This window comes from Homo sapiens, chromosome 12 (assembly GCF_000001405.40).
Source record: "Homo sapiens chromosome 12, GRCh38.p14 Primary Assembly".
Classification (NCBI taxonomy): domain Eukaryota; kingdom Metazoa; phylum Chordata; class Mammalia; order Primates; family Hominidae; genus Homo; species Homo sapiens.
Window position 1 is genome coordinate 90,917,755 of NC_000012.12, and position 15,950 is coordinate 90,933,704.

A 15,950-nucleotide genomic window follows, 5' to 3' on the forward strand; every position below is an offset into this window, starting at 1 on the left:
CTTTCTCCACATAGTTCCCATCCCAGGTTTGTGGGACTCTCCCTTACTATTGATTAATGAGCATGCTTCAGCTTGTGTTGACTACAAATTTTAGGTGATGGTTGCCTTGCTAATTACTGCTACCCAAGGAAGGTTATATAGCTGTTAAATCTATACTTGTTGCACATGTGCATTTCTTAGGAAATTCTCCTTTGCCCTTTCTCCTCCATATCAGTATGTAGCTAGCTACAGTTTGACGGTTTGACTGCAGAGTGAGCCGTTACTGGGCATCTTAAGAGGCGTTCCTTTTTGCATAGGTATTTTCTCTTTTCCTTGCTTACACTTGACTAATTGCCCGCCCACTTCATCATTAGAGATACTATTAACATGCAGATTTTGGGTGGTCCCTGGGAGTGAGTGAGGCTTCCCAGACCTTCTTTTCTCAGGGCTTCCTCTCCTGCTCACGTATATCTATCTGCCTACTCTAACGCTAATACTTTTGCTAAAAACAAACAAATGGAAACAGTTATCTCATTCATGTTAGGCAAAAGAATCAGACTTGATAGGCTCCCATGAACACCAATATTCAACTATATTATTAATCCAACATCTTCCTGGGCTGGCTACTTGGGCAACACAGGACTGAATATCTACTTAGAGGATGGAGATGAGCAAAGGTTCTCAGGGAGTAGCATTTGATCTGGAAGTTGTAGATTTCAGTAAGATTTTGTTAGGAGTGTTTGGTAGGGGGTAGGCTCTTGGACAGACAGCAGAAAATTTCCACAGGTCTAAACATACTTTGGTAAGCCTGGGAAATGCCAAGTGCTCTGAAGTGAGTTTGGAGTCCAAGTTGGTGAGAATGAAATTAGATGAGACTTTAAATATTTTTATAAGAAAGGATGGACCAACAGACGTGTTTAAACAGAAGGGAAAAAGGTTATATCTAAAGTTATAAAAGATCAGACTGGCCTCTGAATGGAGCATCAGTGAGCTGGAAAACAGGAAAGCCAGTTAGAATCCTATACTATCAATCCAGGTAAAAATTAATAGACACCTGAATTTAGGCAAATTCAGGAAAATATTCTTTCGAATTTAATAGCCATTTCCACCACCCTCCTGGCCCATTTTCATCCTTCACATTCATATTTCTTAGAGGGAGAGAGTACATACTTCATTATTATTCTTTCTTTTCCAACTTCTGAGTAAAATAGTTCTTGTCTTCTTTTAAATTCTGTGGCTCCTGACCCACAGTATCGCACTGAGAATCCAATGAAAGAGCACATTTGAACATATATACTAACATGTATAAACTATCTATTTTATATATGTATATCTACATATATAACATACAGTTCAGTTGCTTTCATTTTTTAGGATTTAGTATTATTTTTAAGAAGATGTCTTCAAAATAATCCCATTCCAACCACTCTCATGATACATATTTACCAACTCTCCATTTAAATGTTTTCACTTTAATGTCTCTTGTCCCTTGAAACTTAATTTGTATAACATGAAACTCAGTCAGTTGCTTCTGAAGTTCCTATGACCATGAATGGTGCATCCATTCTTCTAGTAACTCAGACTGGAAGGTCTAGCTGACTATGTATGCAACCTCTGCAAAGCTTCACACCTGTCCTCTTTTTCATTTTTAAATCCACCACCATTATATAGGCCACAAAATCTCTCCTAGGAACTACATCCAGAACCATTTACCTGTTGGATATGCTTCTTCCTGCACACTACCTAATAAGATGAAACTTCCTGAAGTTCTCCTCATAATTAGTCCCCTGCTCAAGAACCTCCAATTGCATTTAAAAGTGCAACCTGCTTTTCTAGTCACAATTCCTGCTTCTTCTTGCCTTTAAAAAGTTTATAATAAAGCCAAACTGGGTGCTTTCTTCACTGAATTTAATGCCTTGGGTTTTCCTGACTTTGGATATGCTCTTTCTAAAGTATGGTGGAATATCATCTCCATATGAAGATTTTTTTGTGATATTCTTCTTCCCACTACCAAATAGGGTTTCAGTCACCATTAAAAGTTCATAGTACTTTAATTCATTCTCTTTAAGTTTTCTACTTGAATTTACATCTTGATAAGTAATTGTCTTAACATAAAAAATTCACTATATTGTAAACTCTTTGTGGGAAGAGATTGTTGTCCATAATTAATACTAGCACAGAGACGTGCATGCAGAAGCAGTTCAATAAACATCATATTTATATTTACTTAATTTTACTGGACATGCCCTCAAAGCACATATTTCCCAGCCTAGCTGCATTTGCTCTATTTTGGTTGAACATGCAACATTCACTCATGCAACTTTTTGTCTTTCATTGTTAACATCACCACCATTATGTTCATCATCAATAAAAATTCATTGAATTAATGCAAATGCAAGACATTCCTATTTTAGTAGAGTTGTATGTAGTCAGCAGAGAATCAATGCAAATAATAACTTGCACTCCAGAACTTCACTGATTTTGATGGTCAAAGTTAAGTATGGTTTGGCAATATTGGCAATGCATTTAAATCAAGAAATATCTTCAGGTACCCCTCATATTGATGGAATTTAGAAGTTTAGGCACTGCAATGCTTTTGTTTGGAGATGCAGCTCAGTTCTTGTTAGTGTAGCCTTTTTACTTGTTGTTTTGTTGTTGTTGTTGTTGTTACCAGCTGGTGTGTTGCACAATATGCAGTTGATTCTCCTTATTCATGGTAGTTATATTCTATCACATTGCTGAAAACACTGAATTAGCAAGTGCTGAACTATTGCTCCTAGGGGAAATACAAAATTAGGTTTCTGCAAACTCTGGTCACAATATTTTTGGCAACCGATCAATACATAACTTTGTTTTACATATGTTTCTGTTAAAAGGCAACTAAATTTAATGTATATTGTTGATTTATTAAAATTAAAGTCACATCCAACAGTGTTTTAACTCAGGCCCAAAGGAAGCTTGTCTAACATACACATAGCATTTTGTCCATAAAGCACATTGCTACCTTCTTGTGCTTACGAATGCTAAACAGCACTTCCTATACTTTGGGGCCATTTTGAGCAAATAAATAAATAAATACATAAATAAATAACCAAAAAAAGTACAAAAATGCAAAATTTATGGCACAAAAAAGGCCTTGCAAAGGATACTTGTTTACAGTCTCAGAGCTGCAATAAGAAGATGGAGCATTGCCTTGTCTAACGTCCAATGGGAACATGCAAGTTGGGCAATCAGATTTTTCACCACTATGCGCCATGTACACTAATTCCCACAGAAGTGCTGGCAGTATTGATTGGGAAATTACAAAAAAATTTTAGTATGTAGGTGAACTTACAAATATGGAATATATGATAATGAGTATTGACTGTAATAAAGACAATTCAACCATGAGACACCAAAGATAACATGTTATTAGGTTGGTGCAAAAGTAATTGTAGTCTTTGCTAGTACTGGTTTTTGTTTTCTTTTGTTTTGTTTTTATGCCTATCCTCTGAGGCCTCTCTCCTTTGCTTGTATGTATTTATTTAGAGACAGAGTCTCACTCTATCACTCAGGCTGGGGTGCAGTGGCATGATCTCAGTTCACTGCAACCTTGCCTCCCAGGTTCAAGCAATTCTCGTGCCTCAGCCTCCCGGTAGCTGGGACTACAATCACGTGCCACCACTCCCAACTAATTTTTGTATATTTTTTTAGTAGAAATGGGTTTTTTGCATGTTGACCAGGCTGGTATTGAACTCCTGACCTCAAGTAATCCACCTGCCTCCACCTCCCAAAGTGCTGGGATTACAGGCGTGAGCCAACGTGCCCAGCCCTGCCATTACTTTGAATGGCAAAAATTGCAATTACTTTTGCACCAACCTATTATTAGTTCTTCAGTGAGGTTGAAATAATGTTTTTAACTTTTTCACCATTTTTCAGCTTGCATTTTACACTAGTGGTAAGAAGCTGTTTACAGTTTCCAGATACATTTGTTCTTACAAGCCTCTACATTTTTTATTGCATGGCTCCCTCTGCCTGGAATGCTGCAGTCCTATTTTCTTTCATTACTTAATTTTCATGCAATCTTTAAAGCTCAATTCAGCATAATCTCCTCCAGGAAGCCTACTTCCAAGGTGACCAAGGGTACTCTGAATTTTTGCATTCCTCTATTTCGCACTTGGAATTTAACAGATTTTTCTGTCACCTCTACATTGAGAACTTCTTAATAAGGCCTGTATTTACAATTTTGTAGACTTAATATCTAGCACAATGCCTGGCTGATAATAGGTGATAAATATTGACTAGAACTGAGCTGAATGAGGAAAAGCATTGGAAAAAAACTGCTAATTTAAAAAAGGATGATAATTCAACTTAAATATGTTTTTAAAAAACCTAGGACTGAATTAAACAAATTTAAATTAAAGATTACAGTGAGGAACAAAGTACAAATTTGATTGATTTAAGAAAGGAAAGATTTTGTGTGCTCAAGTACAGAAGAAAAAAATGACTTACACTCATCATATAATACAAATCAGATGAGTCAGCTGCATAAAGCAATTATTTATAAAGGAAACATTATGCTGGAATATATTAATAGCAGTATGACTAGCTTATCATGAGTGAGTAGTAATCTTTCTTCCATATTTGGCAATAATCAAGCCTTTCCTAAAGTATTTATGAAAGTTGTAGACAAATTGGAGCACATTCAAAGAAGATCAACAAAAATGAAAATAAGACTATTAGAAAAGATGAAAGGGACTCCAGGACTCCAAGCAGGGCAGAGTACAGCAAGAAAGACCATGAATTAAAACTTGTCATCAAGCCCAGCCCAATACTTGGCACAAAGCTCAATAAGAAAGTTTTTGATTAATTAAAGTACTTAAATTGAGGCTCAAAGGACAAAGATCAGTAGTCCTACATTAGCATAGTGGCCAGAACTGTATGAAATATATTAAAATTCAAGAAATAGATTAAAAGTTATTTGAAGGAGAATCTCCTGATGGTACCAAGCAATTAAATACTGGAACAAAAACTTCAGGGGAATCATGAAATATTTCGGCATCCATATCAATTAGAATCATTTAGATGATAAACAGCTTTGAATGGTGTAAGTTTAGCCTAGAAACAGAGAGCTGGGCTAGTTGCCCTTTTAACCACTCTCTCAGAATGATAATGTTGATTGGTATACCTAAAAATCTGTTACCATAGTTTTATTTAATCAATTTAACCTGTATGTTAAAGAAAGAAAGAAACAAGAAAGAAAGAAATATTGATTGGGAGAGTAGACTATATCTCTTGTATAAATAGAAAAAATAATTATTTTTATAGTGTCTATTAAGAACATAATTTCCAGGCGCTATGATTCTGGCTTTATATGCTTCATCTCCTTTAATCCTAAAATAATCTGAGAAAGGTACTATTGTAACCTCTTCCATGGATAATTTTAAGCAAATTAATCTAAGTCGCAGGAATTAAGAGAAAGAGTGAAGATTGCAATATAGATTTTTTTGACTCCAGAACACAGATTCTTAACATTTTCTATTCTAGTCCATTCTTTTCTATTCTATTTTAGTCTCTATTCACCCGTTTATTCAAAAAGTATTTATTGAAGCATCAACTGCACATCATGCTTTTTACAGGTGCAAGGGTATAGACTGGGTTCCCCAGGAAACAAAGTCTGAGATGGTTTGCCTGCAGGAAGTTTATTGAGGAATTCTCTCAGGAACAACATTTGGAGGGAAGTGAAAGAAGCAGATGTTGGCAGAGGGAGAGCTGAATCACAGCACAGTTGCAAAAAAGACCTCCACCTTTAAGCTGAGCTCATGAGCTTGAGCTCCATGCACCTTGAACATTGTCCTTAAATGTGGCAAGGAGTCTTGGCCTTCATACTCTCATCTACCAGTCATGGAATGGTGGCTTCTCCCAGGGGAAGCACTTACCTTGCTGAGGTATATCCTATTTGGCCAAGGGCATTTACAGGGAAGAGATTCAACTGTGGGCCCACTCCCAAGTGGATACCACAATGCACCAAAACAGAAGAGTACCTACCCTCATGATGCTTATTTACCAGTGGGGAATGGGATAAACTATCAATTAATCAGTGTGTTGTTTTGTATTTTTCCTATGGCAGATGGTGAAATGTTGTAAGGAGAAAAAGATGAGAAGAGGTAGTTTAAAAGGAGAGGGCTGAGTGTGATAATATTTAAGTAAAGCTTCATTGAGAAGGTGATATTTGAGCAGATTTGAAAGAGATGAGGAGGAGATACATGAGTACATATGGGGGAAGATCATCGTTGGTGGGGAGAATAGCTCCATGCACACACTCCAAGAGGGAGCATGCCTAGAATGGTTGAAGCACTGCAAGGAGGTCAGCTGGCCAGTGTGGATAACAGCCTAAAAGTAACAGAATTATAAGAGATAAAAGTCAAAGAAATAATAAGAGACAGAAGCCTAAATAATGCAGGAACTCTATGACACATTAAGGACTTTGCTATTTATTCTGAACGAAGGAAGTCCTTTGAGAGTTTTGAGGAGGGGTGTGAATGATCTGACAAATTTTAGAGGGCTCCCTCTTATGTGTTAAGAACAGACTCCAGGGAGATGGCAAAAATAAAGTATGAGTGAACTACTGCAATAGTTCAGGCAAGAATTGGTGGTAGCTTATGCCAAAGTGGTAATCGTGAAGATGGTGAGAAGTAGTTAGATTCTGGACACATTTAGAAGATGGAATCAGCAGAATTTGCTAATCACAGCTCCACAATTTACTGTTTAGCCTTAAGCAAATTAGTTAATTTCTTAGAGCCTTAAAATCTTTTCCTTAAAATAGGGATAATATGTCCATTCTACAGAGCAGATTGTGAGGCTTAAATTGAAAAGATATGTGATGTGCTTGGCATTGTGCCTGAAATACAGCAGATGTCCAATAAACACGACTTTCTCTCCTATCTTGTGACTTATATTTTTCACTGTGCTTTTTCTTTTATCACTACATGTGGTCTTAAAAAAATACTCTAAAGTACCAGAATACCTCAATAATACCTTAAAAATAAAATACTCTAAGGTGCAATACTCTAAAATACCAAATCAACCTTGATTTATAAATAAGGCAATCAATACCATTAATTTAAATGATTTATATAAAATTGCATCTAAAGTTAATGAAAACATCTCCGGACTTAACTCCCCATGCAGTGTACATTCGAGTGTAGAGTGAGATTTCTTACATGTTGATGTTTGAATCTTTTCAGATATCTCAGAAGAAATTAAACTCACCCTGGTGGATTTTAAGAGAGTGCTCTCCAAATTTTAAATTTTAAAGGTTTCTTTTAAAGAAACATATGCTATCCCAGCTGTCTACATCTAATAAAGCAACCACTGACATAAGGGGGAGAAAAATGGAATATAACATTTCAGAGGTTTTTCAGATACACTGGGGACTTTTGAATAATATGAATGCCATTAAATCAAGTTAAAATGTATGTATAGGAATTATGGAAGGGTGAAAGTCTCTAAAAGGCACATAGTATCTAAGACTTTCAAAGGCAATACTGTCTACAATGCATATATTATTAATGAACTAGAAATATCAGAAGTTATTAAAAACAAAATCTCAGTTGTTTCAGCTATTGACACATTTAAAATAATGTGTTTTTTAAAAGATTCTTATATAAGGTTTTATTATAACAAGATTTATAATCTTGTTCATCCAACTTTTATTCACTATGTGAATAATTATGCAGAGTACCAGTGCATATCTCTGTGTTATACTTGCTCCTGGTTCAAACTAGAAGTATTGCAGCATTCTGTTGGTAATATTGCCACCAAAAAAAAATTTTATTGAAGGCCACAATGGTCAAAATCTGTGGTAGCTCTCCTCACACCAGGCACCAACTGTGGTAGCACTCTTATATAGGCCTAAGACTAACCTTCTTCCTACCACAGATGCTTAACTGCCTCCTTGGGGGGTCGGCAGAAGTTTATTACCCTCAAATGGTGTTTGCTTTAGGCCTCGGGACCTGACCTTTAATCTTCACCCTCTAGTGGTGTTTACTCACAACCCTTTAATCTTTACTAAATAAATGCAAGTCTCACCAATGAAGGCTGAGTTGCAACTGTTTACAGGACTCTGCTGGAGTCTGTAAGTGGCTCGGACACACTCAGTTGGACTGGTAAAGCAGAATATCTGTGTGTCTGTGTACTTGATTCATCGGTCCCTGGGTCAAGGGTCTGCAAGGGACAGAACCCCCGCAGCTGTTGCCCCCATGAGAGGAGCACTACCAGAAAAATCAGTTAAAAAAAAAAAAAGTAACAGTATTATTAGACTTGCTAATAACTAATGCTTTACTTTCAAGTTGAGTCAATAACTTAAGTAAAACAATTTTTCATATAACTGATTGATCATGAGAGCTAATATTTTCTGTTATTCATTGTATGACTTAGTTTTCAAAGTCAACTTAGTTTCTGGCACAAATAATTCTAATCTTAATTTGTTCACAAAGGGCAAAATTAATGAGCCAGGGCTGAAAAGAAAGAATACGGGCTCCCCAAGCTGTCTACTCCCTCTTGATAGTCTTTCTTCTGCTGGGCAAGTCCAAATAAAGACCTAATAAAAGGAGCGTTATGAAAGGCCCAAGTGAGCCTCACTATCAGAATCATTTGGAGGTTTATTAAACATACAAATTCTTATACCACACCCACCCATCCAAAATCAGAATCTCGAGGGTGGGACCTAGAAATATTACTTAAGATTTTAGATGGTGTTGGTCTACAGAACTCTCCACCCCAAATCAACAGAATATACATTCTTCTCAGCACCACATCGCACTTATTCTAAAATTGACCACATAATTGGAAGTAAAACACTCCTCAGCAAATGAAAGAGAACAGAAATCATAACAGTCTCTTAGACCACAGTGCAATCAAATTAGAACTCGGGATTAAGAACTCACTCAAAGGTGCACAACTACATGGAAACTGAACAACCTGCTCCTGAATGACTACAGGGTAAATAACGAAATTAAGGCAGAAATAAATAAGTTTTTTGAAACCAATGAGAACAAAGACACAATGTACCAGAATCTCTGGGACACAGATAAAACAGTGTTTAGAGGAAAATTTATAGCACTAAATGCCCACAGGAGAAAGTAGAAAAGCTCCAAAATCAACACCCTAACATCAAAATTTAAATAACTAGAGAAGGAAGTGCAAACAAATTCAAAAGCTAGCAGAACACAAAAAATAACTAAGATTGGAGCAGAAGTGAAGGAGATAGAGACACGAAAAGGCCTTCAAAAAATCAATGAACCCAGGAGCTGTTTTTCTGAAAAGATTAACAAAATAGATAGACTGCTAGCTAGACTAATAAAGAAGAGAGAAGAATCAAATAGATGCAATAAAAAATGATAAAGGACATATAACCACTGATTCCACAGAAATACAAACTACCATCAGAGAATACTATAAATACTTCTATGCAAATAAACTAGAAAATCTAGAAGAAATGGACAAATTCCTGGACAGATACACCCTCCCAAGACTAAACCAGGAAGAAGTTGAATCCCTGAATAAACCAATAATAAGCTCTGAAATTGAGGCAGTAATTAGTAGCCTCCCAACCAAAAACAGGCCCAGGACCAGACAGATTCATGGCCCAATTCTACCAGAATTACAAGGAGGAGCTAATAACATTCCTTCTGTAACTATTCCAAACAACAGAAAAAGAGGGAATCCTCCCTAACTCATTTTATGAAGCCAGCATCATCCTGATACCAAAACCTGGCAGAGACACAAGAAGAAAAACAAAAATTTCAGGCCAATATCCCTAATGAACATCGATGCAAAAATCCTCAATAAAATACTGGCAAACTGAATCTTGCAGCACATCAAAAAGCTTATCCACACAGCCAAGTTGGCTTCATCCCTGGGATGGAAGGCTGGTTCGACATATGCAAATCAATAAACGTAATCCATCACATAAACAGAACCAATCACAAAAACCACATGATTATCTCAATAGATGCATAAAAGGCCTTCCAACATCCCTTCATGCTAAAAACTCTCAATAAACTGGGTATTGATGGAATGCATCTCAAAACATTAAGAGTTATTTATGACAAACTCACAGCCAATATCATACTGTATGGGCAAAAGCTGGAAGCATTCTGTTTGAAAACTGTCACAAGACAAGGATCCCCTTTCTCACCACTCCTATTCAACATAGTATTGGAAGTTCTGGCCAGGGCAATCAGGCCAGAAATAAAGGGTATTCAAATAGGAAGAGAGAAAGTCAAATTGTCTCTGTTTGCAGATGACATGATTGTATAATTAGAAAACCCCGTCGTCTCAGCCCAAAATCTCCTTAAGCTGATAAGCAACTTCAGCAAAGTCTCAGCATACAAAATCAATGTGCAAAAATCACAATCATTCCTATACACCAATAACAGACAAAGAGCCAAATCATGAGTGAACTCTCATTCACAATTGTTGCAAAGAGAATAAAATACCTAGGAATACAACTTACAAGGAAAGTGTAGGACCTCTTCAAGGAGAACTGCATACCACTCCTTAAGGAAATAAGAAAGGACACACAAAAATGGACAAACATTCCATGCTCATGGATAGGAAGAATCAATATCATGAAAATGGGCATACTGCCTTAAGTAATTTATAGATTCAATGCCACCCCCATCAAGCTACCATTGACTTTCTTCACCGAATTAGAAAAAACTACTTTAAATTTCATATGGTACCAAAAAAATCACATGCATAGCCAAGACAATCCTAAGCAAAAAGAACAAAGCTGGAGTCATCACACTACCTGATTTCAAGCTATACTGCAAGGCTACAGTAACAAAATGGTACTGGTACCAAAATAGATATATAGACCAATGGAGCAGAACAGAGGCTTCATCCCTGGGATGCAAGGCTCGTTCAACATATGCAAATCAATAAACATAATCCATCACATAAAGAGAACCAATCACAAAAAACACATGATTATCTCAATAGATGCATAAAAGGCCTTCAAACAGAATGCTTCCAGCTTTTGCCCTTCATATTTGCTGTGAGTTTGTCATAAATAGCTCTTATTGTTTTGAGATACATTCCTTCAATACCTAGTTTATTGAGAGTTTTTAATCACATGAAGGGATGTTGAATTAACACCACACATTTACAACCATCTGATCTTTGACAAAGCTGACAAAAACAAGCAATGGAGAAAGGATTCCCTATTTAATAAATAGTGTTGGGAAAATGGGTAGCAATATGCAGAAAACTGAAACTGGACCCCTTCCTTATACCTTATACAAAAATTAATTCAAGATGGATTAAAGATTTAAATATAAGACCTAAAACCATAAAAGCCCTAGAAGAAAACCTGGGCAATAATACCATTCAGGACATGGGCATAGGGAAAGACTTCATGACTAAAACACCAAAAGCAATGGCAACGAAAGCCAAAATTGACAAATGGGATCTAATTAAACTAAAGAGCTTGTGCACAGCAAAACAAACTATCATCAGAGTGGATATCCAGAATCTACAAGGAACTTAAACAAATTTACAAGAAAAAACAAATGACCCCATCAAAAAGTGGGTGAAGGATATTATTGGAGGAACATGCCCCCAATATTTCAACATAGGTTCTTTCTATTTTCCATAAGTGTTGGCTAGCTGAGAAATAAAGAGAGACAGTACAAATAGAGGAATTTTACAGCTGGGCAGCCAGGGGTGACATCACATATCGATAGGACTGTGATGCCCACCTGAGTCTCAGACCAGCAAGTTTTTATTAAGGGTTTCAAAAGGGGAGGGGGTGTAAGAACAGAGAGTAGGTACAAAGATCACATGCTTCAAAGAGCAAAAAGCAGAACCACTAATAAGGGTCTAACAAAGATCACATGCTTCTGAGGGAACAGGACAAAGGGCAAAAGCAGAACCACTGATAAGGGTCTATATACAGCGGTGCATGTATTGTCTTGATAAACATCTTAGACAACAGAGAGCAGAGTTTGAGAGCAGAGAACCAGTCTTGACCACAAATTTACCAGGGTGGAGTTTTTCCCCACCCTAGTAAGCCTGAGGGTTCTGCAGGAGACCAGGGCATATCTCAGTCCTTATCTCAACTGCATAAGACATACATTCCCAGAGTGGCCGTTTATAGACCTCCCCCTAGGAAAGCATTCCTTTCCCAGGATATTAATCTTAATATTCCTTGCTAGGAAAAGAATTTAGTGATATCTTTCCTACTTGCACGTCCATTTATAAGCTCTCTGCAAGAAGAAAAATATGGCTCTTTTTGCCCAACCCTGCAAGCAAACAGATGTTATGGTTGTCTTCCCTTGTTCCATAAAAATCGCTCTTATTCTGTTCTTTTTCAAGGTGCACTGATTTCATATTGTTCAAACACACATGTTTTACAATCACTTTGTACAATTAACACAATTATCACAGTGGTCCTGAGGTGACATACATCAGTTTATGGAGATAACAGGATTAAGAGATTAAAGTAAAGTCAGGCATAAGTAATTATAAAAGTATTATTTGGGGATGATAAATATCCATATTAATATGAAATCTTCACAATTTATGTTCCTCTGCTGTGGCTCCAGCTGGTCCCTCCGTTTGGGTTCCCTGACTTCCCACAACAGGATATGAATAGACACTTCTCAAAAGAAGACATTTATGCAGCCAACAAACATATGAAAAAAGGCACATTATCACTGGTCATTAGAGAAATGCAAACCAAAACCACAGTGAGATTCCATCTCATGCCAGTTAGAATGGTGATCATTAAAAAGTTAGGAAACAATAGATGCTGGAGAGGTTGTGGAGAAATAGAAAACGTTTACACTGTTGGTGGGAGTATGAATTAGTTCAACCATTGTGGAAGACAGTGTGGCAATTCCTCAAGGATCTAGAACCAGAAATACCATTTGACCCAGCAATCCAACTACTGGGTATATATCCAAAGGATTATAAATCATTCTACTATAAAGACACATGCACACACATGTTTATTGCAGCACTATTCACAATAGCAAAGATTTGGAACCAACCGAAATGCCCATCAATGATAGACTGGATAAAGAAAATGTGGCCATATACACTATGGAATAATATGCAGCCATAAAAAAGGATGAATTCCTGTCCTTTGCAGGGACATGAATGAAGCTGGAAACCATCATTCTCAGCAAACTAACACAGGAACAGAAAACCAAACATCCCATGTTCTCACTCATAAATAGGAGTTGAACAATTAGAATGCATGGACCCAGGGAGGGGAACATCACACACTGGGGCCTGTTGGGGGGTATGGGGCTAGGGGAGGGATAGCATTAGGAGAAATACCTAATGTAGATGATGGGTTGATGGGTGCAGAAAACCACCATGGCACTTGTATACCTATGTAACAAACCTGCATGTTCTGCATATATATCCCAGAACTTAAGTATTTTTAAAAAAGAAAGATTTTAGATGGTATTTTCTTTTTATAATATAATATCATATATTTATTATTTTTCCATAATTTATTGGGGTACAGGTGGTATTTAGTTACATGAATAAGTTATTTAATGGTTATTTGTGAGATTTTGGTGCACTCATTACCAGAGCAGTATACAATGAACCATATTTGTAGTGTCTTATCCCTGAATTGTGCCCCTGTAAACATCCATGTCCAAGTATTCTTTTTGAATAATGACTTATTTTCCTCTGAGTAGATATGCAGTAGTGGGATTGCTGGATCAAATGGTAGTTCTACTTTTAGTTCTTTAAGGAATCTCCACTGTTTTACACAGTGGCTGTACTAGTTTACATTCCCATCAGCAGTGTAGAAGTGTTCCCTGTTCACCGCATCCATGCCAACATCTACTGTTTTTTGATTTTTTGATTATGGCCATTCTTGCAGGGGTAAGGTGGTATCTCATTATGATTTTGATTTGAATTTCCTTGATCATTAGTGATATTGAGCATTTTTTCATATGTTTGTCATTTGTATATCTTCTTTTGAGAATTGTCTGTTCACATCTTTAGACCACTTTTTGATGGGATTGTTTGTTTTTTTCTTACTGATTTGTTTGAGTTCACTGTAGATTCTGGACATTAGTCCTTTGTCAGATGTATAGATTGTGAAGATTTTCTCCCTCTCTGTGGGTTTTCTGTTTACTCTGCTGACTGTTCATTTTGCCGTGCAAAAGCTCTTTAGTTTAATTAGGTCCCAGCTATTTATCTTTGTTTTTATTGCATTTCCTTTTGGGTTCTTGGTCATGAATTCCTTGCCTAAGTCAATGTCTAAAAGATTTTTCCCAATGTTATCTTTCAGAATTTTTATAGTTTCAGGTCTTAGGTGTAACACCTTAATCCATCTTGAGTTGATTTTTGTATAAGGTGAGAGATGAGGATCCAGTTTAATTCTCCTACATGTGGCTAGCCTACCATCCCAGCACCATTTGCTGAAAAGGGTGTCCTTTCCCCACTCTACGCTTTTGTTTGCTTTGTCAAAGATCAGTTGGCTGTAAGTATGGGGGTTTACTTCTGGGTTCTCTATTCTGTTCCATTGGTCTATATGCCTATTTTTATACCAGTACCATGCTGATTTGATTACTATGGCCTTACAGTATATTTTGAAATCAAGTAGTGTGATGCCTCCAGATTTGTTCTGTTTGCTTACTCTTACTTTGGCTATATAGGCTCTTTTTTGGTTCCATATGAATTTTAGAATTGTTTTTTTCTAGTTCTATGAAGAATAATGGTGATATTTTGATGGGGATTGCAGTGAATTTGTAGATTGCTTTTGGCAGTATGGTCATTTTCACAGTATTGATTCTATCCATCTATGAGCATGGGATGTGTTTACATTTGTTTGTGTTGTCTATGATTTCTTTCAGCAGTGTTTTGTAGTTTTCCTTGTAGAGGTCTTTCAACTCCTTCATTAGGCATATTCCTAAATATTTTATTTTTTCTGCAGCTATTGTAAAAGGGGTTGAGTTCTTGATTTGATTCTCTTTTTGGTCACTGTTGGTGTATAGAAGAGCTACTAGTTTGTGTACATTAATCTTGTATCCAGAAACTTTGCTGAATTCTTTTTTCAGTTCTAGGAGCTTTCTGGAGGAGTCCTTAGGGTTTTCAAGGTAAATGATCATATCATCAGCAAACAGTGATAGTTTGACTTCCTCGTTGCTGATTTGGATGCCTTTTATTTCTTTCTCTTGTCTGATTGCTCTGGCTAGGACTTCCAGTAGTATGTTGAAGAGGAGTAGTGAGAGTGGGCACCCTTGTCTTGTTCCAGTTCTCAGAGAGAATGCTTTCAAGTTTTCCCCATTCAGTATTGTGTTGACTATGGGTTTGTCACAGATGGTTTTTATTATATTAAGGTATGTCCCTTGTTTGTCGATTTTGCTAAGAGTTTTAATCATAAAGGGATGCTGTGCTTTTAGAATGCTTTTTCTGCATCTATTGAGATGATTATGTGATTTTTGTTTTTAATTCTCTTTATGTGGTATATCACATTTATTGACTTGCATATGTTAAACCATCCCTGCATCCCTGGTATGAAACTCATTGGATTATGGTGGATTATATTTTTGACATATTGTTGGATTTGGTTAGCTAGTATTTTGTTAAGGATTTTAGCATCAATGTTCATCAAGGATATCGGTCTGTAGTTTTATTTTTTGGTTATGTCCTTTCCTGGTTTTAGTATTAGGGTGATGCTGGCTTCACACAATGAATTAAGGCAGGTTTCTTCTTTCTCTATCCTGTGGAATACTGTCAAAAGGATTGCTACAAATTTTTCTTTGAATGTCTACTAGAATTCTGCTGTGAATCCATCTGGTTCTGGACTTTATTTTGTTGGTAATTTTAAAAATTACCATTTCAATCTCGCTGCTTATTATTGACCTGTTGAGGGTATCTAATTCTTTCTGATTTAAGCTAGGAGGTTATATTTTTCCAGGAATCTATTCATCCCTTCTAGATTTTCTAGTTTATGT

At 36.6% G+C, this 15,950-nt stretch overlaps 1 long non-coding RNA gene across 1 annotated transcript in view, besides 1 other annotated feature; it reads left to right on the forward strand.

The window, feature by feature from the left end:
• Positions 1-268: 268 nt before the first annotated feature.
• LINC00615 (long intergenic non-protein coding RNA 615) overlaps positions 269-15,950 on the forward strand; it is a 30,647-nt gene continuing 14,965 nt past the window's right edge. The window contains exon 1 of the long non-coding RNA NR_038868.1: positions 269-296. This is a non-coding gene — a long non-coding RNA (long intergenic non-protein coding RNA 615). The remainder of the gene's footprint in view (positions 297-15,950) is intronic.
• Positions 5,578-5,872: a silencer, noted in NCBI's record as "tiled region #14687; HepG2 Repressive non-DNase unmatched - State 24:Quies". NCBI's record gives its function as "represses a minimal TATA promoter and a strong SV40 promoter by Sharpr-MPRA in HepG2 cells {active_cell/tissue: HepG2}" and the evidence as "EXISTENCE:reporter gene assay evidence [ECO:0000049][PMID:27701403]".